Source organism: Homo sapiens, chromosome 8, assembly GCF_000001405.40.
Source record: "Homo sapiens chromosome 8, GRCh38.p14 Primary Assembly".
NCBI lineage: Eukaryota > Metazoa > Chordata > Mammalia > Primates > Hominidae > Homo > Homo sapiens.
The window spans coordinates 95,269,857-95,295,375 of NC_000008.11; the positions used below are offsets into that span (position 1 = coordinate 95,269,857).

At 40.2% G+C, this 25,519-nt stretch overlaps 1 long non-coding RNA gene across 9 annotated transcripts in view, besides 1 other annotated feature; it reads left to right on the plus strand.

Moving 5' to 3' along the window:
* The window catches only part of CFAP418-AS1 (CFAP418 antisense RNA 1), a 541,308-nt gene that overhangs the window by 1,021 nt on the left and 514,768 nt on the right, over positions 1-25,519 (plus strand). The gene's annotated exons all lie outside the window — the stretch shown is intronic.
* Positions 7-86: an enhancer, noted in NCBI's record as "active region_27656". NCBI's record gives its function as "activates an Ori minimal core promoter by ATAC-STARR-seq in GM12878 lymphoblastoid cells {active_cell/tissue: GM12878}" and the evidence as "EXISTENCE:reporter gene assay evidence [ECO:0000049][PMID:35858748]".

The following is a 25,519-nucleotide window of genomic DNA, read 5'->3' on the forward strand; positions in this document are numbered from 1 at the left end:
TTTGAATGTTACCTCGCTCATCATTTTACAGTTTGTAAAAGTCTTAGAACGTATCCCGTCCAACTCTTTGTTGGAAAAAACGGAAATTCTAATTAAATCCGAGAGAGAGAGAGAGAGAGACAGAGAGAGAGATGCGTGCTCAAAACTATTGCACACCCACTTGCTTGCACAATGTTGGAGCCATTTCCAGGAGAGAACCAGGAACCGGGTAGGGGCCAACCAGCTTCCCGACTTCCTTGTGGGGCTGCCAGTTCCACTCCTTCGCCTTTCTCTTTGACAAACGGCTCCCAGGACTATCTTTTCACCCATTATACATTAAAAAGCTATTACCCAGCGATTTAAATTCACTCTGCAGGGTCAGACAGTCCCACCGTGCCATAAAAGCACTACTTTGAAAAGTGTAAAGCGTGATACAAGTGTAAGGTATTGTAAATGGCATTCTTAATAAATACTGTGCATAGTTTAACCTGTGTTTTGGGTATTTCTAAAGTGGGGTAGCAAAGAGGTTGGCACCCTTGGGAACTCTGGAGATAGTTTGATCCAGATGATTTGTTTGTTCAAAGTATCTTTTAAGGTCCCTGAAGAGCAACATGTAGTGGTGTGCTGGAGCCAATGGGACATGCTCACTCCTACCCAGTGATAAATTTTCAAGGATTTTGGGAGCTAGTTGTTAAATGCAATTATTATTAAATATTAAATTATGCAAACTTGCAATTACATTATGTTAAAAGCAAATATGATACTCAAAATTCATATGCTAGTGATTCCACTACCTTTTACTATTATTTATAAATATAATTGAGATTGTTTACATCTGAAAGACTTTCTCTCTTTAACTTTCCATTCAGTGATGTCACTTGGGAAGCTTGAAATGAGCCATAGTGGGTGTTATTTACATGAGGGAAATTGCAAATGTGACAAAGCAGGGCTTTTTATCCCTAGGAGATGAAAGATACTTTGAACAAACAAATCATCTAGATCAAACTGTCATTTAGTAGAACACCCCATGTTACCATCAGACCAACTGTGAATATTCTCAGCAAGGCAACACTCCCCTTTTCTGCAGGGCTGCTCTATTTATTGTCTCTGAATCTTTGTTTTAGCTATTAGAATCCTGGCCTAAACACACACACACACACACACACACACACACACACAAATATGCATATAAACATATATGTATATTTACACACACAGGGGAAACTAGCATTTTTATGCAAAATACTTAACATTGAGCACTGACCACTCAGATCAGACACTGTCAGGATGCTTAAGTAGTATCCTAGAGGCACCCTGACATGTATTACCCTTGTAGTCAGAGTAGAGAACTCTAGAGGGTGGGGAGACAATGTTGGGGCAAGGAGGGGACTCGGACACTAGTTATTTGTCTAGAATCCTGGCATATTCTATGATTTCCAACTAATTAATTTTTTAAAGTTTTTTTCCAAGTTGCCTTGCTGGGCGATTTTACCTAGAACCGGTCTCTAGCAGAAAGGCAAGGAAAAGCTGCTTGAAAAAGCGGTCCTTGCAACATGGTTCCAGGGGAAGTCATAGTTAGTGGCCATCCAGTTTAACAGGCTTACATTAATGATTTGATTTTGCTCTTGAGAAGATGAAATCTGAGGGGATCTGTACCAATGTTGAAAGTATCTGTTAGCGGCCGGGCGCGGTGGCTCACGCCTGTAATCCCAGCACTTTGGGAGGCCGAGGCGGGCGGATCACGAGGTCAGGAGATGGAGACCATCCTGGCTAACACGGTGAAACCCCGTCTTTACTAAAAATACAAAAAATTAGCTGAGCGTGGTGGCGGGCGCCTGTACTGGCAGCTACTCGGGAGGTTGAGGCAGGAGAATGGCGTGAACCCGGGAGGCGGAGCTTGCAGTGAGCCAAGATCGCGCCACAGCACTCCAGCTTGGGCCACAGAGCGAGACTCCGTCTCAAAAAAAAAAAAAAAAAAAAAAAAGAATCTATTAGCGTGTAGAAGATTTGCAATGAGAGATGGTGAAAAAATAAAAGAGAAAATGTTTCTGGTTTTCTGTGTTTTGTTTTTTGTGTATATTAGAAAAAAATTAGTGTGTTCCCTCGCTCCCTCACTTCTACTCCCATTTTTCTGGTCTTTTGATTGGATAATTTATTCCGTTTACATTTTAAAATTTCATTTTATTGATTTTATTTACTTTCAGTAGCTTTTGGGGTACAAGCGGTTTTTGGTTACATGGATGAATTGTATAGTGGTGAAGTCTGAAATTTTAGTGCACCTGTCACCCGAGTAGTGTACATTATACCCAAAAGGTAGTGTTCTTTTTTTTTTTTTTTTTTTCCCAGACGGAGTTTTGCTCTTGCTGCCCAGGCTGGAGTGTGCAATGGTTTGATCTCTGCTCACCACAACCTCTGCTTCCTGGGTTCAAGTGATTCTCCTGCCTCAGCCTCCCAAGTAGCTGGGATTACAGGCATGTGCCACCATGCCGGGCTAATTTTGTATTTTTAGTAGAGACAGGGTTTCTCCATGCTGTTCAGGCTGGTCTCGAACTCCTGACCTCAGGTGATCCGCCCGCCTCAGCCTCCCAAAGTGCTGGGATTACAGGCGTGAGCCATCACACCCAGCCTCCAATAGATAGTGTTACTATCCTTTACCCCTCACCCGTCCTCCTCTCTTCTGAGTCTCCAGTGTCCATTATGCCACTCTGTATGCCTTTGTGTACCCATAAATTAACTCCTACTTACGAGTGAGAACATATGATACTTGGTTTTCCATTCCTGCCCACTCCCATTTTAATAAAATGGATGTATGGATCATCCAGAGTTTGGTATTTTGAGAATTTCATTTATGGCTCATTCAACTCTCCGGTGGGTCTCCTGACTTGAGTCATGTTCTCTTTCTGGTTTGCCACCGAGAGTGAAAGGTTGAGTTCAGAGTCTACAAGGAGAAATGCCATATGTCACATAAGAGTAACATATGTGTATGGCTGTGTGATAAACTGTAAAATTACAGTGCACTATTAAAATCTCCAGATGTCAGAAAGAAAGTTATACAGTTAAAAATTCAGTGGGCTCTAAACAATGGATGTGGATGTATAAGATGAAGGTAGTGTGGCTTTAGAAGATTCTACATTCAGGCAAATCCTATTAGATCATTTTTTTTTAAACCGGGCTATAAATTCCTTTGGTATAACTTTCTGTTTAACTAACAATCTTATTTCTTTCTCCATAATTGTTAACGTGTGTAGACAATGTCGTGAATCCTTGTCCCCTGTCTTTCCCAGTCATGGAAAGCATGCTGAGTGTCAGGTATTTCGTAAAGAATAGGCAAGTGCCTCCAGGTGATACAATTATTAACATGGTAAAGGAGACCGGGTGCCGTGGCTCATGCCTGTAATCCCAGTACTTTGGGAGGCCAAGGCGAGCGGATCACTTGAGCCCAGGAGTTTGAGACAGCCCAGGTGACATGGCAAAACGCTGTCTCTAACAAAAAAATTACAAAAATTAGCCAGGCATGGCAGCGCTGCACCTGTGGTCCCAGGTATGTGGTAGACTGAGGTGGGAGGATGGCTTGAGCTCAGGAGGTGGAGGCCGCAGTGAGCCGAGATAGTGCCACTGAACTTTAGCCTGGGTAAGAGAATGAGACTGTCTTAAAAACAAAACAAAAAACATGGTAAAGGGGCATGTCATGTATTATTACATTCACTTAGTATTCAAGGAAGTATTTTAGGTAAAAGGTGTCCAAATTAGGAAACCAAAGCACTGTTGGCTTTCCCAAGAATCTGAAGAACTCTCTGAGCCTGGTTTCTTGCTAGCACCATTATAAATGAGTTAGAGGTGGTGAGGCAGCTGGTTCTGCTGTCCCACGCCGCCTCAGGCCAACTGCTTCAGTTACAAGGTGTTCTGTAATCTCCCTGGCTGCTCACATAATGAATTGCAAGGCTTCTTTGAATTCCCATGTACTTAGGTTTAATTTTCCCTTCCCTGCATCTTTCCCCTGCATACTGCAGGCCTTTTAAACAAATACCCACTGGTGGGCGGTGACATTGGCATGAGGGGAGGCATCCTCCTGGATCAGTTGCAAGCCTCCTAGCAGCTGATGCCATGGAAGAATGGAGTAGCACCGAAGCAGCTCCAGTTCTTTTAAGTGGTCCCTGAATTAGGCCTCGATGTCATGTAGGTAAATTCAGCCCAGAACATGCAGAATCTTTATTGGAATTTGTACATTCATCTCTCACAGCTGTGGAGAGTTTAGACTAATCACAACTCTCACTGGGATACTATTATCTTGGTAATTTGAAAAAGGATCAGGAGCCTGCAGGCTTGGAACATCTTGAGAAAACTCTGGCTCTGAAATACATCATCACATGTGGGGGACACCACTTGCGGCATCATCGCAGAGAGCTGAAGAATGCTGAAATCAAGTATTTCTGTGGCGTGATTTCAAATAGCTTGAGAAATCTGAGAACTTTTTTTTTTTAACTGCAAAACAGATTCTTTCCTCTTCCATCAACCCGGTTGCTGTCAATATGTCCAGTGTTAGGTGCCAGAAATGAGCATAGCCTCTTAATGATAACAATGCCAAGATTAACACAGCCACCAGGGGCTCTCTCTAGAATCTGTTAGGGTGTATTTTGATCCACAGACACGTTCTGAAGGCGTGCACCTCCTTAGCTTTTCCAGTCTCAGTACATTTCTCTTCAGCAGCCTGGATAAAACCTGTCACTTTTTGCCAGAACTTCTCATGCTTTGGGGCCCCTCAGACACCATTTTTCATTGACCCCATGAGTCCATATGGTAGGGCTAGGTTCAAAGTTGGTATTTGGGAAACAGCTTCTGACAGCACAGAGGCCTGGTGTACTGCGGTCATTTGTTCAAAAGGCCAGGATTTGCAGATGTGCTATAAGAGTGTAATATAATTTTTGACCCCACCCAAATGGGTATTTTATCACCATCCACATAGCAACCAACAAACAGATGAGTCTGAGGAGGCAAGCGCTAATATATGTGGCTCAAACCAGTCAACCCTCTGAGGAGTCAGTAGTTCAGCCTCTTTTTGAGGCTTTAACATCACAGTGGTCCTTTCAATTCTACAGTTATGTGAGTACAGCTCCTTCCCTCCCCCCTTTTTCATATTGTTTTTTGTTTTATAATTTTTAAGCTTTAGAAAGTTAAGCCTAATTCAAAAAAAAATTGGGGAAATAGGGGAGGGGAATAGCAATTTCAGTCAGGCATTAAAATGAAGGCAAAGTGAAACCAAATTGATGGAGGTGATGGGACATGTTCCACAGGCCTGGGCTTAGGTTTGGTGTCCATCAGTCTTCCATTTCCCTTGATTGGCCATATTGCCTCTTGGGAAGGAACCCAAGGTTTTATGCAGACCAATTTGCTCTATTTCCTCAGTTACCGACTCACATGTCAACCAATCTTTATGGCCTTACAAAAGGTACCTGTTGGTATCGACCTTGCCATGAACTGTCTAAGGAATATTTGGGGGCTGGAAAGGACTTTAGTGATAATGTATAAAACTCTTTCAGCTGAGGTTGCAGTGATCCGAGATCACGCCACCGTACTCCACTCCAGCCTGGGCAACATACTGTGTCTCAAAAAACAAAAAAACACCTCTTTCATTTGATAGATAAAGCAATCAAGATCAAGCCCAGAGTGGTGAAATGATTTAGAAATTCTTTGACTATTCAGAGATTTTCATTATAACCATACATTGCATTCTTTTATTTCAACATCATGATGGTCATTCTGGATAAGACTCCTTCCTCTCTCCCTCCCTCCCTGCCTCCCTTCCTCCCTGCCTCCCTACCTCCCTCCCCACCACCTTCCTTCCTTCCTTCCTTCTTTCTTTTTCTTTCCTCCCTTTCTTTCTCTTTCTTTTTTTGAGACAGGGTTTCACTCTGTTGTCCACGCTGGGGTACAGTGGCATGATCATGCCTTACCGCAACTTCTACCTCCTGGGCTCAAGCCATCCTCCCACTTCAGCCTCCCAGTAGTGTGGACTACAGGCACACACCACCATGCTCAGCTAATTTTTATATTTTTTGTAGAAGTGGGGTTTCACCATGTTGCCCAGGTTATGTCTAGTGGCCATAAAATTGATGCTATGAATTTAATGTCAGATTGCCATATATTGGAATCCTTTCATTCCTGCCATTGACATATTAATACAAATATCTCTCATGCTCTGTTCTCAACTTCTTCAACTCTGATAGCTTGTGCCACTCTACTGTACTCACATCTCTCCAGATTAGTGACTGTGTTTTGACCTCATATTATGTATGAGGACACAAACTTCTGAAGGACAGGGACTATAACTGATGCACATTTATTTCTCCTATAGGGAGGGAGAAGTATAGCTTTTGAGAACATCTAAATTGAGAGCCCATTATGATACCATTTTTTTTTGTTGTTGTGGGGGAGGTAAGAGATCCTTGTTGTATTCTAACAATGAGGCTGAGTCTCAGACATGAGTCTGAACCCTGTAGGGATAGTAAATTCTTCCTTTTCCCAGTTCTCCTTTCTTACTAATATGGGTACAGAATGGTCTGTTCAAGTCACAGAAGCTCTTGGCTGAAGAAGGAGTCTCCCTGAGCACACAGGGAGATCTTAGTTCCAGAGAGGGTATGGGGGCTACAGAAAGGGCCAGAACAGATGGCACACTCCGTACCCCAGAGCTAGGGCTAGTGTGTGCCTGGTCTGTGAAGGGAAGGAACTAGTGATTCCAGGTCCTTGGACAGATTCCTTCCGCAGCAAGAGCAGCATATTTTCTGACCCTTTGTGTTTTTCCTTTTGAAACTGACATTATCTCTAATTATATGTGGTCAGATTGTAGAAGACATTTATCATCTATTGCCAAAACATCACCCACTGCTTTGCCAGTTCCTGTTTGCCCAGCCTGGCTGTGGCTGTTGAAATATCCCATCTGCAAGGTGAACCCAATTCCTAGCTAACCCAAGACTTGCTCCTCCCCATCATGGTTAGATCTGGAATTGGTCTGGATGGCCTAGGTCTGGTACGCATTGAGCAAAATGCCACACTGCTGTCTTCTCCATGAACCCTTGTGGATGGGCTTCTACTCAACTTCTAGATTGAATTCCATTTCTGTTCTTGGGCTGAAATTTTGTCCAAACCCCAAAGCGTTGTCCAGGGCTGTAGGAGTCTTCTAGGGCTGCCGTAACAAATCACCACTTAAAACAGTAGAAGTTTATTCTCTGAGTTCTGGAGGCCAGAAGTCTGAGATCAAGTTATGGGCAGTACTATACTCCCTTTGTAGGCTCTAAAGGAGAATCTGCTCCATGCTGCTTCCAGCTTCTGGTGGCTATTGGGATTCCTTGGCATTCTGTAGCTTGTAGCCACATCAGTATAATCTCTGCCTTTGTCTTCCCATTGCCTTCTCCTCTGTGTTTATTCTATAAGGATACAGGTGATTGCATTTAGGGCCTACCCAGATTATTCAGGATAAGTGCCTCTTTTTCAGATCCTTAACTCAATCACATCTGCAAAGATTCTTTTTCCAAATAAGGTCACATTTTTAGGTTCCAGGGATTCGATGTGATTTGATATCATTTTGGGGGCCATTTTTCAGCCTAGTACAAGGGCCCTGACAAACTCCTGGCTTGTGCTGACCCCTGTTTTTGGGGGATCAGCCCCTTATCTCTTTTGGTCCTGGCCAAGGGTATGTTTTAACATGAATGAGTCTGTCTGGAATCAAATTGTTAACCACTTGACTATGACTATCTCCACAGTCATATCTTTCTAGGCCTCCATTTCTAGGCCCTTGGGTATAAGTGCCAGCCTGGATCAGATTAAGCTTGCCTTTAAATACTGTGATGTAGTCTGATGGACAAATAAGCCCAAGCTCAGGTCAGTTCTTTTAGCTTGAGCCATACTGGAATGGCTTCCATCTCCTTGTCATCCTGGTATCGAGGTCTCTGCATGCCTCTTGGCAATGATGTGTTGGCTATAGTATCATCATGTGTATAACATATTTTTTTGCATACCTACCTTATTCTGAGCTCTTTATAGAACTTATTTTACTTAATCACTGTAGATCAGGAAACAGGGACAGAGAAAGGCATAGTGGCTCATGCCTGTAATCCCAGCACTTTGGGAGGCTGAGGCTGCCAGATCACTTGAGCTCAGGAGTTGGAAACCAGTCCGAGCAACACGGTGAAACTCTGTCTCTACTAAAAAAATACAAAAATTGCTGGGTGTGGTGGCGTGTACCTGTGGTCCCAGCTACTAGGAAGGCCGAGGTGGGAGGATCACTTGAATCCAGGAGATTGAGGTTGCAGTGCGCCAAGATTGCGCCACTACACTCCAGCCTGGGTGACAGAGCAAGACCCTATCTCAAAAAAAAAAAAAAAAAAAAGGAAGTAAGGACAGAGAGGTAAAGTTATTAGTCCAAGGTCATATAACCTGGGTCTAACTGTAAAATTCATGTTCATTTTACCATGCTGTACTATATTTTACATGCTTTATTATCTATCTTATTGTTGTCTCTCCTTCTCATTAAAACAAAACAAAACTGAGACTAGGAGAGGAATAAGCTTTATTTGATTTTCTAATTACTTGTGAGGACTTGGCAGACAAATTTTCTCAACCAGACAACTTAATTCTTAAATTTTTGTTTGGGGGATCTTTCCAGTTCAAGGTCTGTTATTGCATATAAGTTTGTAATCCTCTTGCCAGTTTCATTATTCTACATTTATTGCCATGTTTTGTGTAACATGTGTCTGTATACTGTTAACATTTTCCAGTAACCATCCTACATACACAGAAAAGAGACATGAGTGTAAAGGAAAAGGCCAGCAAGTTCAGTCAGCCAGGAAAAGTTTATAAGTCTGTATTTCAAGGAAGGAGTCATGTGCTGAATTTGCACACTGGCCTGTGACTGAAATCCAGATCAATATCCATGCTCTAAGTACAGTATGACTAAAACTCTTAGAACCGAAAGCTATTTAAGTCCCTTGGTCTTTCTAGCGTAAGTTAGGAAATGTTTCCTCCTCTTCAATATTTTGGAAAGGTTTGAGCAGAATTGGTATTAGTTTGCCTTTAAATGTTTGGTAGAATTCACAAGTGAAGCCCTCAAGTGCAGGGCTTTTCTTTGTCAGGAGATTTTGGATTACTGATTCAATCTCCTTACTACTTATAGGTCTGTTCGGATTTTCTATTTCTTCATGATCTTGTCTTGGTAGGTTTTGTGTTTCTAGGAATTTTTCCATTTCTTCTAGGCTATTCAATTTGTTGGCATATAATTGTTCATAGTGCTCTCTTATAATCCTTTTTATTTCTGTAGAATCGGTAGTAATGTCCCCACTTTTATTTCTGATTTTAGTAATTTGAATCTTCTGTCTTTTCTTTCTTGTTCTGTCTAGCTAAAGCTTTGTCAATCTTGTCTGTCTTTTCAAAAAGCTAACTTCACATTTTATTGATTTTCTCTTGATTTTCTATTCTCTATTTCACTTATCTTTGCTCCAATCTTTATTATTTCCTTCCTTTTGCTAGTTTTGGGTTTAGTTTTCTCTTCTTTTTCTAGTTCATTAAGTTGAAACTTAGGTTGTAGATTTGAGATCTTTCTTGTTTTTTACTGCAGGTGTTTACAGCCATATATGTCTCCCCTAGCACTTCTTTCACTGTGTTATATGTTTTGGTATGTTGTTTTCATTTTCATTAGTCTCTAAGTATTTTCTAATTTCCCTTGTGATTTGTTTTTTGATCCATTGGTTGGTTGTTTAAGAGTGTGTTGTTTGATTTCCAAAAATTTGTGAAATTTTCAGTTACTTCGGTATTGATTTCTAACTTTATTCTATTATGGTTGAAGGAGATACTTTGAATAATATCTATCTTTTAAAATCTATTGAGACTTAATTTGTAGCCTAACATATGGCCAATCCTAGAAAATGTCCTATATGTACTTGAGAAGAATGTGGATGCTGTCAATGGGTAGAGTGTTCTGTATATGTCTATGAAATCTATTATTAGTTGGTTTATTGTGTTTTTTAAGTCTTATATTTCCTTATTTATATTTTGTATAGTTGTTTGATCCACAATTGAAAGTGGGGCATTGAAGTGCCCAACTATTCTTGTAGAGCTATCTATTTCTCCCTTCAGTTCTGTTGGTTTTTGCCTCATATATTTTGATGGTCTTTTATTAGGTGTGTAAATGTTTATATTGTTATCTGTTCTTACAGTTTTTAACTTTTTATTAACATATAATATCATTCTTTGTCTCTTGTAAAGTTTTTTGATTTAAGGTCTGTTTCACATATTAGTATATCCATCCCTGCTCTCTCTTTTGGTTACTATTTGTGTAGAATATCTTTTTACATCCTTTCACTTCCAACTTATTTGTGTCCTTGGATCTAAAATGAGTTTCTGTGGACAGCATATAATGAGATCATGTGTTTTTACCCGTTCTGCTAATTTTTTCTTTTGGGTGGTTAGTTTAATTCATTTACATGTAAAGCAATTACTGATAAAGAAGGACTTACTTTTGTTACTTTATCATTTGTTTTCTATATGCTTTATTTCTTTTTTGCCCCTCATTTCCTGTATTACTGTCTTCTTTTGTGTTTAGTAGATTTTTTTTTATAGTGAAATGTTTAAATTCCTTTCTCGTTTGGGTGTGTGTATATTCTAAGTGATTTTCTTTGTACTTACTGTGGGGATTACATTTGCCATCCTAAAGTTATAACACTCTAATTTGAACTTATAGCAATTTAATTTCTTTTCTTTTCTTTTCTTTTTTGTTAAGACAGGGTCTGGCTTACCCAGGCGGGAGTGCCATGGCACAATCTCGGCTCACTGCAACCTCTGCATCCTGGGCTCAAATGATCCTCCTGCCTCAGCCTTCTGAGTAGCTGGAACTATAGGCATATGCCACTGTGCCTGGCTAATTTTTGTATTTTTAGTAGAGATGGGGTTTTGCCATGTTGCCCAGGCTGGTCTCAAACTTCTGAGTTCCAGCAATCCACCTGCCTCAGCCTCCCAAAGTGGTAGGATTACAGATGTGAGCCGCTGCGCCCGGCCAGTTTAATTTCAATAACACACAAAACCCTGATCCTTTTCAGCTCCATGTCCATGCCTTTTGGCTGTTGATGTCACTAGATTATATCTTTATGCATTGTGTGCCTCCAAACAAACTAATAACTCTATTAAGTGCATTGGTTTCTTAAATTATATAGAAAACAAAATATGGAGTTAAAACCAAAGTTACAATAATTCTAACTTTTATAATTTACCATGTATTTACCTTTACTGAAATCTTTGTCAGCAGATATCTTTAAGTTATTGTCTAGTGTCCTTTTATTTACCTTGCAGGACTCCCTTGAGCATTTCACAGGACAGGTCTAGTGGTAACAAATTCTCTCAGGTTTTGTTGATCTGGGAATGTCTTAACTTTCCCTTCACTTACAAAGGACCATTTTGCTGGATAAAGGGTTTTTGGCTGACAGTTTTTTTTCTTTTAGTACTTTGAATATATTGGCCCATGGCCTTCTGACTTCCCAATTTTCTGATGAGAAATCTGCTGATAATATTTTTTGAGGATTTCTTGTATATGATATGTTATGTCACTTCTCTCTTGCTGCTTTCTAGATTCTGTCTTTTCAAAGTTTGATTATATGTGTCTCAATGTGGGACTCTTTTTTTTTTTTTTTTTTTTCTTATTTAATAGGAAGAAGAAAGTACTGTTCAAATCAGGGACTTGACTCCCACAAGACTCAATGTGGGACTCTTTTGAGTTCATCTTACTTGGAGTTTATTGAGCTTCTTGGATGTTTCTTTCATGTCTCTTATCAAATTTGGGAAATTTTCAAACATTATCTCTTCAATATTCTCTCTTCCCCTTTCTCTCTCTCTTCTCCTTCTGAAACATTCACAATGCATATGTTGGTACATGTGATGGTATCCTGTATGTCCCTTTGGCTCTGTTCATTTTTCTTCAATCTTTTTTCTTTCTGTCTCTCAGACTAATAATTTCCATTGTTCTATTTTCAGGTTCACTGATTCTTTCTTCTCCCTGCTCAAATCTGCCTTTGAATCCCTCTAGTGATATTTGTTATTTCAGTATTTGTACTTCTAAGCTCCAGAATTTTTTGTTTATTTTCAGGTTTTGTGTCTCTTTATTGATGTTTCCATTTTATTCACACATCATTTTCTTGACTTTCCCCATAGCTTCATTTAGTTCTTCAATCATCTTTAAGAGTTATTTTAAAATATTTGTTTAGTAATTCTTCTAAAAGGTCTTTTCCAGGAAGAGTTTCTGTTATTGTTTTCTATTGAATGTGCCATTCTTTCCTATTTCTTTGTATGCCTTGTGATTTTTTTTTTTGTTGAAAACTAGGCATTTGAATTTAATAACGTGGTAACTCTGGAACTCAGATTCTCTTCCTTCCCTAGAGTTTGCTGTTTTTTAAAAATTGTTTTTGTTTGCTATTTTTTGTTTTTGTTTTGTTGATTGTCGTAGGCTGCCTCTGTGCCAAGGATCATCCTGAGTTGCACATTTAGTCTTTTCAGGTCTTTTCTGAGCCTTCACTTTCCCCTGTGCATGCACAGTCACTTTCTAATTTTCTCTGTATGTATATGTGTGTATATATATATATGTATGTATATGTATATGTATATATATATATATTTGTTTTTGAATGTCCTAGTCTTCAGTGCCTGGCCCCCAAAATGGGAAAAAGAAAAATGAACAGAGGAAAAACAAAGGGGGTGTCTGCTCTTTAAATCCCCTGGTAATCACCTATGCCAGAGGAGATGGGGCTTGCAATAATTGTGGGGAGATGCAACAACAATGGTCACCTACCTCTTTGCACCTCTGTGACCAGAGGCAGTAATCACCATTCAGAGCACAGGTCCCCAGTATTTGGTGGACAGGGTCCTTTTTGCTCATCCTGGCCTCAGCAAGCTATGTGCAGGTTACTGCAGGAACACTTGCAGAGCTGCGTGCCATAGAGCTAGGGGTAGAGGATGGGTAACTGCTGCTGTGTGAAGAGGTGAAATTGAACAAAATCAACCCCACTTTACCGTTCAGGCCTTCCCCTGGAAGTTTCCAGCTTTCAACAGATGCTAGAGTTCCAAAATAGTTACATCAGACAGATTCTGCCAGGGCAATTGTTGTCTAGGTGGGGAGAAAGATTCCTGGTGCTTCTATTCTGCCATCTTCCCGGAATCCTCTTCTCATATATTTCAAATTTTACCAGAAGTAAAATAAGTAAAAATACTACTCCCCCCGGTGGATCTAAACCTTTCACATATATACAAACTGCTCATGTAAGTGACCAGCTTGTGGCTGGTTTTCTGTCAATGATATCAATGGTGTTAACAATTGTCATTCCTTAGAACTCTCGTTTGTGTGTGCATATGTGTGTGTGTGCATGTGTATGTGTGCATGTACTCTAACTCTTCTTGTAAATGGCAAGGGAAATGAATTAGCAAATAACAGAATGGTATAGTTATAGAGTCAATCCTGGTTTAAGAATACAGGATGGCCGGGCGCGGTGGCTCAGGCCTGTAATCCCAGCACTTTGGGAGGCCGAGGTGGGTGGATCATGAGGTCAGGAGATGGAGACCATCCTGGCTAACACGGTGAAACCCTGTCTCTATTAAAAATACAAAAAAATTAGCCGGGCATGGTGGCAGGCGCCTGTAGTCCCAGCTACTCGGGAGGCTGGGGCAGGAGAATGGCGTGAAACCGGGAGGCGGAGCTTGCAGTGAGCAGAGACCGCGCGCCACTGCACTCCAGCCTGGGCGACAGAGCGATACTCCGTCTCAAAAAAAAAAAAAAAAAAAAAAAAAAAAAAAAGAATACAGGATGGTGGTTATGGGTCAGGCTTTGGACCTAGACTTCCTGAGTTTAAAAGTCAACTTATTTACTGACTGGTTGTACTATTTAATATATTTGCTCCCTGTGTGCCTTTATTTCCTCATATGTAAAAATGAAAGCTAATAATAATACCTACATTATTAGGACTATTATGAGGATTAAATGAGTTGATACATGTAAAGCACTTAAATGATTGGTATCTACCATTGGAACACTATACATACTATATGACCAGCTTTACCACACCTAGGTATACGCCCAATAGATATGAATACATATGTTTCCCAAAAGACAAGTAGTAGAATGTTCATTGTAGCAGTATTTGTGATATCCCCAAAGTGGAAGCTACCCAAATGCCCACCAACAATAGAAGGGATAAATTGTAGTATATTTATGTAATAGAATATTATACTGCTATGAAAGTGACCAAACTGCATGTACATGCAACAGGTATGAAACTCACACATATAATGTAAAATGAAAGAAGCCAGACATGAAAGAGTAAATACTGTATGATTTTATTTATCTAAAGCTTAAAACCAGGCAAAACTAGACAATAGGATAATGACTACCCTAGTTGGGAGAATGAATAGAAAGTACCATAAGATGGCTTTCTAGGAGTCGTTGGAAATGTGTGTTTCTTGTTGTGTGTACTGATTACATGGGCTAATTCCATACTCAGGACTAGTTCTGTACACCAAGGGCTATGGTAATGGGTCCACCGTTGTCAGAACACAAACAAAAATCCCCTAATAACATTCCCCCAGGGGTAAGAGTTATCTACTGGCCTTACATTTTTACAACTATGGGATGCACTCCTATGATTTTTTTCCTATTATAATGAAAATCTACTCCAAGTCTGCTGCTCAATATTAAGAAGCTCAGTTTGTGAAAATTCAGCAAGTTGTATACTTGGGATCTGTGTATTTTTCTGCACGTAAATTGTTTTAAAAAGTTTTTAAAAAGTAGCTGGTGAATAAAAAATGTATAATAAATGATATATATATTTAATTGTTTTTAGGGTTAGAAAGACTAGGTTTTGAATCCTGGCTTTGTGGTCATGGAGACTAGGAAGTCTCTTAAACTGTTCATTTCTATAATGGTAAACAGAGGTAGTGATACTTGGCTTAAAGAGACCTTAGATGTTATTGAGAACCAGTGAGATGAAATGTAAAAAAATGGTAACTGCCTCTTCAACATTGAGCAGCAGACTTGGAGCAGATTTTCATTATAATAGGAAAAAAAAATCACATGAGTGCACCCCATAGTTGTAAAAATGTCAGGCCAGTAGATACCTCTTACTCCTGGGGGAATGTTATTAGGGGATTTTTGTTTGTGCTCTGACAAAGGTGGCCCCCTTACCATAGCCCTTGGTGTATAAAACTAGTCCTGAGTAAGGAATTGGACAATTTTGCCAAGAGGGCAAGGAGTCCCTGGAAGGAAAGGGATAAAGTCCTTGGCCCTTCTCTTGTGAGGGTTAATGTCATTAGATACTGATGTATTGAGATGAACTGGACTGAAGTTTGTTGGAAAGAACACTAACGGGGCTAGATTGGAGTTCACCATGGGCATGTCCGGTTTGGTGATCTGAATTCAACATTGGTACTTGGTCAGCATCTCATGGGGAAGGATAGTTCCTTCTAGTAGTTGGCTGAGGGATGAACCTCCACACCAAGCCAGCTGGGCACAGTTTCACTGAGGAATGACAACTGAGCAAGTGCAATGACCTAAAAATACAAGTGAAGACATGACTGTGACCTGTGAGCAGCAAGGACATTTCCAAAACAAGGATGACTGGCCATTGGGCTAGCGAGACCAGTGTTTAGTATGCCTATGAGGTAACTACCAAAGCAATGGTGCTGGTGGGTTCATAGAACTTTCTAGTTATTTCTCCCACCTGGCATTTGGAAGTGTAATTGACCCTTTAGAAGTGAGAAAGGCCCTAGAATGTTGGATCGTCTGGAGATAGAGTATTGGGAAAGGCCCCAAGAAAGGAATACCAGATTTTCTGTTGGTAAGGTCCTTGGGCCTCAGCAAGTCACTAGAAAAATAAGTGAAACACTATTTGTACTCTAAGCTGGTGAAGTATACATCCTGGTTAATAATAATAGCCATCATTTATTGGGCACTGTGTGTCTGGCATGGAGACTGTTCTTTGTCTACCAAAATTGTTTTCTCTTTCTTTCTAGGCCTGTAACGAGACTTCATTTCACAGCCTACTTTGCATTAGATGTGTTCCTGTGACCACATTCAGAGCAGATATACTGTGTGGCATTTCTCGGTGTGGGCCTCAGGGCAATAAAAGGATCTCCTCCATGCTCTCCTCCACTGCTACTGGTTGGAACCCCATAGTAATCCAGTTTTGACCAGGCAGATGTGAGCAATGTCCTGGAGGATGATGAGCAGCACAAAGGAAGGAACCTTGGTACCTGAAAGACCATGTGGAGCAGGGCTTCCCTGTTACCCTGAACTGCTACCCTGGAACTGTTATGTGAGAAAAAATAAGATTCTTGCATTTCTCCAACTATAATGGGCACAAGAATCACCTGGGGATTTGTGACAATGCAAATCCTGATTAAATAGGTCTTGAGTGGGGCTTGAGATTCTGTATTTCTTACAAGTTCCTAGGTGGTGTTCATGATGTTGGTCCAGTATCTACAGTTTAAGTTCCTCTCCAAGAAATTCTGATTTAACTGTTTAGAGTGGGGTTCAGGGACATGATGCTAAAAGAAAGCCCCAAATACCAAAAACCTTTCAAGGTGATTCCAATCTACACCAGGGTTGAGACCCCACTGGAGAAGAGAAACATTTTCTGAGAATGGAAGGATCCAGTTCCTTTCCTGATGTCCTTTGGAGGAGGCAATTCCTTTGAGTTCTTCCAAGCAGCCTTGCCATCCTACCGTCTCATTAACCTCTTACAGATAATGCTTTTTGTTTCTTGTCTGCCTCTGCTGATAGTACTTGTCGTCTTCTTGAAACTTCATTTCAGCCAGAAACTTTTTTTGACATATTGATTTGGAATGTTGAGCTTTGTTTTTGAGTAAAATAATTCAACATGGTGATGTATAGAGAAGCTGATTATTAGCTGTTCCCAAGATCTGCCTTTGGGGACCATATTTGAGCATTTAGTCTTAAACACTATAGCAGCAGCCTAACTTGAGGTTTCAGCCTTAAAACAGACAGACACTCATCATTACTGACAGGGATGTTGTAATAATTAAACTATTATTTTGTGCAGTTTCACCTGAAGGTTGCAAAGCCTTAAGAACATCTGGTGGCAATTTGTTAGTTATCACATTATTCTGCATTTATTAAGTGTTGATAATGCACTAGGTGTTGTACAGAATGCAATCCCTGCTCCAGAGCCAAGAGAGAGGGCAAGTATGTCCCAACAAAGAGAAGGTGAGGCTTACAACAGTTGAGGATTTTTCCTAAAAAATCCCTTCTACCTAGGTTAGTTGAAACATTGTGATTTTGGAGAAAAGCTCTCATTTGTATAAGTTGTCTCTAGTTTACAAAATACTTTTAGATAATCTAATTTATTTATTTTGAGAAAAAAATAAAAAACTCTCTTGCCCAGGCTGGAGTTCAGTGGCACAATATAGCTCACTGCGGCTTCGATCTCCTGGGCCCAAGGGATCCTCCCACCTCAGCCTCCTGAGTAGCTGGGATTACAGGTGCACACCACCATGTCTGGCTAATGTTTTATTTTATTTTATTTTAATTTATTATACTTTAAGTTCTGGGATACATGTGCAGAATGTGCAGGTTTGTTACATAGGTGTACACGTGCCATGGTGGTTTACTGCATGCATCAACCCGTTATCTACATTAGATATTTCTCCTAATGCTATCCCTCCCCTAGCCCCCCACCCCCAACTGGCCCCGGTGTGTGATGTTCCCCTCCCTGTGTCCATGTTTTCTGCTTGTTCAACTCCCACTTATTAGTGAGAACATACGGTGTTTGGTTTTCTGTTTCTGTGTTTGCTGAGAATGATGGTTTCCAGCTTCATCCATGTCCCTACAAAGGACATGAACTCATCCTTTTTTATGGCTGCATAGTATTCCATGGTATATATGTGCCACATTTTCTTTATCCAGTCTATCATTGATGGGCATTATGGGTTGGTTCCAGTCTTTGCTATTGTGAATAGTACTGCAATAAACATACGTGTGCCTGTGTCTTTATAGTAGAATGATTTATAATCCTTTGGGTATATACACAGTAATGGGATTGCCGGGTCAAATGGTATTTCTGTTTCTAGATCCTTGAGGAATTGCCACACTGTCTTCCACAAATGGTTGAACTAATTTATATTCCCACCAACAGTGTAAAAGTGTTCCTATTTCTCCACATCCTCTCCAGCATCTGTTGTTTCCTGACTTTTTAATGATTGCCATTCTAACTGGTGTGAGATGGTATCTCATTGTGGTTTTGATTTGCATTTCTCTAATGACGAGTGATGATGAGCTTTTTTTCATATGTTTGTTGGCCACATAAATGTCTTCTTTTGAGAAGTGTCTGTTCGTATCCTTTGTCCACTTTTTGATGGGGTTGTTTGTTTTTTTTTCTTGTAAATTTGTTTGAGTTCTTTGTAGATTCTGGATATTAGCCCTTTGTCAGATGGGTAGATTGCAAAAAGTTTCCCCCATTCTGTAGGTTGCCTGTTCACTCTGATGATACTTTCTTTTGCTGTGTGGAAGCTCTTTAGTTTAATTGGATCCCATTTGTCAATTTTGGCTTTTGTTGCCATTGCTTTTGGTGTTTTAGTCATGAAGTCTTTGCCCATGCTTCTGTCCTGAATAGTATTGCCTAGGTTTTCCTCTAGGGTTTTTATGGTTTTAGGTCTTACATTTAAGTCTTTAATCCATCTTGAGTTAATTTTTGTATAACATATAAGGAAGGGGTCCGGTTTCAGTTTTCTGCATATGGCTTGTCTGGCTAATTTTTAAATTTTTTGTGGAGACAGGATTTCACCATCTTCCCCAGTCTGGTCTCCAATTCCTGGCCTCAAATGATCCTCCCGCCTCAGCTTCCCAAGGTGCTGGGATTACAGGTGTGAGCTACCATGTCCAACTCCAGATTATCTAATTGAATCTTCACTTCAGCCTTGCTACCTTGTGATTTAGTCAGCATCAAGCAATAGAAAACCTGACCCAATAAGGAAGGTAATACAATAAGGAAAGTTATAGACACATCTAAATCCAGAGGTGTAGTGATCTCAGGGTTTTTCCTATTTTATAACACTTTCTTTCCTCCTCCTCTATTTTTATTTGAGCCTCTTTTATCAGTGGTTTCAAACTTTTTTGAGTCATTATATAATGACCCAGTACACAGAAACACTACACACACCCACATATACCCCCTCTGAATTAAAAGTTTCACTAAACAATACTTATCCTTAGTAGAGTGTAATTCACTCTTCTAGTATAATCTATTGTATATCTTATCCTATCCTGTCCTATCTTATTCTACTTTTAAAATTCTGGAGAAATATTGGCTACCTTGATTTCATGACCCTTCCATGGATCTCAACCCTTAGCAAAGCTTCCAGGCTCAACCCTCAGCTGGCTCTTTGGGCCTTGGACTTGGCTAGTCTGCATTCCCTCAACCTCCCCATCCACTACCTGCAATGCAGTAAAGTTTCCAAGTCTTACGCTTCATCTCCTGGTGATTCTGGCTCCTGCTTTCCCCTGTGACAGTTAGTCAGACACACTGACATTTAGCTCACCACTATGCTAACCATTTTTGTTCTGCCCAATCCTCTCTGGCCTAAGCCACTGTGAAATAGACTGGTTAGATCTTGTTGGGTCCTCACAGGGCCTTTTGTCACATTTGAGCCTCTCTTGAGTTCTGACACCAATAAGTCATAAATGAAACAGAGAGAAATGATTATTTTCTAGAACAAAGATAAAAAAACTGGAGCATTACAAAAAGCCACTTCTTTACTTAGATTTCTTTATATTCAGATGCTGTTTCCTTTTTTATTTCCTTCTCTCTTTGTTACTCTGAATGAGGTGCTCAAGTAAGTGTTTGTCCTATTTAAATAGAGAACCTCATCACCATGCATGTTCAGTGTTGGCTTTGCCTGTAGAAGTGTAGATTTGTCCAGAATTTCTGCAGAAATACTGGGTACATGCAGGTTCACCAGCAACTCTCACCCCCTGAAATCAAGTCCAGTCTAGCTCTTCATAAGTACATAAATCATTTTAGGGAAGGTGAAAGTTCATCTGGTCCAATATTTCTCCTCTGTTTTGCTTTATCTTAATCCTGTTTCGCTATTTTTTTCACCACGCCCTTAATCTTTGCTGTCTCTAAAAGAAGCATAACTGCCTCTTCTTAACTTTCATAAACTCTGTTAGAAGCACTTTCTTCAATAACTTGTTCCATATGTTGCATACATGAGCTCCATCAAGATCCCCCTTCCCCCCACTGCTTCCTCAATTTTGCATGGCATCCATCAGTGTTTGAATCATTACAAGTAAAGGGGGAAAATACCCTCCAATGCCATCCCAATGGGACCTTTCTCTTTGGCATGTTCAGCATGTCCCATCATTTAGAAGGCTCTGTGTGGTTTTCTGGAAGTTTTTCTAACCCAGTGAGAAACAGCTGGTTTACCTTCACTGTCCTCTCCTTCTTTCCTTTGAAAGCTCCATATGGCTTGGGTGATGCCGCCTTGCCCTACTCAGGACAGCTTCCTGGGATGAAGGACAGCAAACACCTCTATCTTCCTTAGAAGGGTCCAACAAGAACTCTGAGTAGACCGAGGACACCTCTCTGGGTTTCCAGTCAATTTCCTCTGTAAACAAGCGCTCAGATTTTGGCCATTCTTAACTGTAGCTGATGATTTAAAAATATATATTTTTTCATTTTCTAAATAACTCCACTTATCTCCATTCTAGTTCTTTTTGTGATCTTTGCCCATATTTGACTGTTTCGTGAGACACATACTTAATAGCCAGGTCTCTGCTCCCAGACTAATTATTTCATTTCTCACTAATAATAATAATAATTACTTTTACTTTTCAGGTGGCTATATCTTTTCCTTGTGATGAGAGTGTTCCTTTCTGTGCACTAGCAGGCTTTATCATCCTTCACCTCTTTCTACATCTCTGAAACAGGAAAGGTAGCCACTCCCTTCTCCCCTCACTTGCTTTGGGGCCTTAGTGCCACAGGTGCTAGGAGCTCTCAGATGGTTTATAGGGCCTGGCAGGGCTGCAGTAATGGGGAATCACACTTCATTATTGCTGTTTTCTAAGTCCACCCTTTTTTAAATGGCTACCAGGACACTGTTTTAGAGTGTTTTCCATGCCTCCCAGGCACAGAACCCCTGTGGATGTGGCCAGCCTATAGAGGCTGTGCAAAGGCTCATAAGAAAAAAACTGATACCTGGTGAATATTTTGTTACAGCACTAATTTCTTCCTTTTTTTCCCTCTTCCCAATCTTATAAATATGTCACTGGAGAAATGTCTATTCAAGTTCTTAGCCCAGTTTTTTTTTCAAAAGAACCAATATTTTTAAAATAAGTGTACTACACAAACCAATCTATAAATTCAATGCAATTATCAAATTACCAATGTGTTTTTTTCACAGAATTAGAAAAAAACAGTGCTAGAATTTATATAAAACCAAGTATGTGTGTAATAACCAAAGCAATTCTAAGCAAAAAGAACAAATCAGGTTACTTTAAAAAAAAAATTCAGTTGTAGAGGGTTCTGAGGTATTCTGGAGTTTAACCCTGTATCAGATGTATGGTTTGCAAGTATTCTCTCTCATTCCATAGGTTGCCTTTTCACTCTCTTACTTGTCTCCTTTGCTGTTCAGAAGCTTTTTAGTTTGATGTAATTGACTTATTTTTGTTTTCATTGCCTGTGCTTTTGGTGCCATATTCATGAAATCATTGACTTCTTCCTTATGTTTTCTTCTAGGAGTTTTTATAATTTCAGGTCATAAATTTAAGTCTCTGACCCACATTGAGTTGATTTTTGTGTATGATAGAGGATAATGGTCTAATCTCTAAAGGAGACACACAAATGGCCAAGTATATTAAAAATGCTCAATGTCACTAATCATCAGGGTAGTGCAAACCAAAACCACAATGAAATATTATCTCATACCTGTTAGGGTAGCTATTATCAAAAAACAAAACAAAAGACTACATCTGTTGGTGAGGATGTGGACAAATTGGAAATCTTGTACACTGTAGGTGGGAATGCAAAATGGTGTAGCTGCTAAGAGAAAGTGTGGAGGTTCCTCAAAAACTAAAAACTAGAACTACCATATGATCCAGCAATCCCACTTCTGGGTGTTTATCCAAAACAGTTGAAATGAGAATCTTGAAGAGATAGTAGCACTCCAGTGTTTATTGCAGCAAAAAAGGTGGAAACAAACTTAGTGTCCATTGAGAGACGGATGAAGAAAATGTATATATATACAGTGGGATACTACTCAGCCTTAATAAAGAAGGAAATTCTGCACTATATGACCACATAGATGAACCTTGAGTACATAATGCTAAGTACAATAATGAGCCAGTCACAGAAGATTCCACTTGTATGAGATATCTAAAATAGTCAAATTCAAAGAATCAAAGAGTAGTACGGTAATTACTAGGGGCTGGGGGAAGAGGGAAATGAGGATTACTAATCACTGGGCATAAAAGTTTAGTTAACAAGACAAATGAGTTCTCAGATCTGTTGTACAACATTGTACCTATAGTCAACAATAATGTATTGTACACTTAATTCATTTTAAGACAATAAAATACATTTAAAAAAGAGATGTCATTGGGTTTGCTCCACAGGTCCCAGTGCCTGTATCTTTTCAAACACTGGCCCCATGCTCTTAGATGTACCTCCACTGTTGCTGGAGGTACGCCTAAGCTGATGGGGTCACAATGGATTCATCTGGCCCCATGGTGCATTGTTTAAGGGAGGGTCTTCTGTTTGGCCTCATAGTGTAGTATTGAACTAAATAACCTCTGATGCCATACTGCCTGGATAAAATATCCCAACTCTGCCACTTATTCACTGTGGATCTTGGGGAGGATGCTTAATCTTTTTGCATCTCAGTTTTCCTCATCTGTGAAATGGAACTGATAACACCACTCTCCTGAGAATTAGATAAATTAATGCACAGGAGCGCTTAGAAGCATGCCTGCCTCATCGTAAGCACCCAACAAATATTGGCTGTTATTTGGTACTTTCGTGTTCCAGCTCCATTCTCCAACCCCCCACCCCACTTCTAATAACATTTCCACGAATGGACAATTAGGAGAATTCTATTAGGTCTTGGTCTTCTATTAGTAGTTCTATTGATCCTTGAGATTGTGTCATTTTAAAAAAATCTCTGGTTTTATTTTGCCAACTTCTGAAATCTGTGCAAAGTATGGATGTAGGATTTTTGCATTTGGAACTCCTCCAGGGGCCCAGGGACCCATGGTAGGGAAAATAAAAGAGGTCTTCAGAGATGTCTTGTGTCTCCAGAGAAACAGCAGTATTACTTCACCGGTTGACTTAATGGAATCAGTCGGAATCAGCCCCAAGCAACTTTCCCTGCCTAATTACCCCATCACCTGTTCAAATACAGCCATTACTTTGGTATTTATTAATTGTGTTGTGATCAGCTTTTAAGGTATGTCTTTTCCTTTTTTTTTCTTTCAGCTTAGCCAGAATCACATTTTAGGGCAACCAGATTTTAATGATATTGACAGGTACTATAGCTTGACTTTCTAAGCTCTTTCCATACAAACTTAATTTTTGGTTTTGGTAAGTTTGCGAAATGGATAGCCAGTTTCTAACTCTTGTATGTTTCCCTGGGTGAACTGTCATTTTTATTTTTTGTCAAGTGAGCTACAGGTAAAGCTTGTGATCATAGCAAAACATGTTTAATACTTTTGATGGAATTGAACACAAAGTTAACTGAATCTTTCACTAAACTGGCAAGTTAATTGAATGAAATGATTAGTTTGTTAGTTTCTTTGGTCAACTTTGCTGGAATAGTTGGTTGATCTGTTATCATAGAGCCTAGAACAGTTTCACTTCTCCTAGTCCCATGCGAAGTATTCACTGACTGTGCTTCTTTCCCAAGCAGTACTTGTGTCAAAACACTGCTACCTGAGATATTTTCAGAGACCTTTACATGGACTGTTTTTGCAACTCTTATTCCATGGGTGAGTCAGTGCAGCAACAGGTCTGTATGGACTCCCAGCAGGTTGTTTCTCTGCCCGGAATCACTTGCCAGATGATTTTAATGTTGAAGGGCAAAACTTAGCATTGGTTTGTGGCCCTTTTTAAAAACTCAACAAGCAGAACAAATACCAATTCTATAGGGACTTGGGGGCAAGAGAAGTCTCAGAAGCTGGCCCATTTCTCAGTTTGGGTCTGCTAGTGAGGCAGGGCTTAAGGTTAACTCAGTCCTTATAGGTACAGGACTGTCTCTTAGTTTTACAGTCTTCAACATTTTATTAACTTCCAGGCAGTAATAATAACTACCATATAACCCTTACTGCAGGTAGGCACTACTTGAAGTACTTTAGATGTATTACTCAATTTAATGTTCTCAACAGCCCTATGAGGTAGGCTCTGTTAATTATCCCACTTTACAGATGAGGAAACAAAGTGCCTCAGAGAAATGAGGTTTTTGCCTGAGGTCCCATAGCAAGTAAGTGGCAGTATATAAGGTTTCAGAGCAAGTGTGGACAGAGCCAGGATTTAAACCTAGGCAGCCTGGCTCTGGAGTCATAACTGCTATACTGTACTGAGGGACTGCCTTAAATCATGCTGAAACCAGAGTGGAAATGGATTTCTTTACAATGACGGGTATAATAACTATGATAATAAATATTGGTTATTTTCTCTGATCACTGTCTCCCAGTGAATGAATCTACTGGAAAGTCCAAATCATTGATTAATTGTTGCTAGCTGAGAATACAACCTGAACAAAGACAGTAACAAATATTCATTGGATTGGAGGGGTAAGGAAACAGGGGACATCATTACTTTTTCTGGGCTCCAGGTCACACGGCCTCAGCCTGATTTTTCAGAGGCACATCAGAACTTGGAGCTGAGGAGTGAGGACCAAGTCTTGCCCCATGAAGTCTCAGGTCCGTGCCAAGAGTCTGGGGCACCATTACTAGCCCCACCCTGGGCAACAAGCCACGAGGGAGCCAAGGCGAGAAGCCAAGAGAATCGAGAAGCATGTGTGATGAGGAGACTTCAAGCTGGCCCTGGGGAGGCATCTGGAGGAATTTCCTGAGCTGGAGTCCAGAATTTGCCATAGGTTTTTACGTGTGCCTCTGGTGTGGGATCCTTGGGATAGTTAAAGGGGCTACATAGGAGGAGACTTGTTTCTAGGACGCTGAGGAAGCTGGATGGATTACCCTGTCTCCTTCCAGGGCTGTGTCTAGAACTCTGACAGCGGTCGCAGAATCAGACACCTTCTGTCCTGGGTGGATCATAGTCACAATTATAACATTCCTTAATCTCAAATTCCTTAAAAAAATCTTTTTATTTTGAAATAGCCATAGATTCACAGCGGGCTGCCAGAATGGTTCAGAAAGGTGCTGTACACCCTTAATTCATTTCCGCCAGTGGTCACATCTTGCCTAACTAGAGTACAATATCAAGCCAGGAAATCGACATTGGTGCAATCCACAGATCTTTTGCAGATTTCACCAGTTTTACATGCACTTATT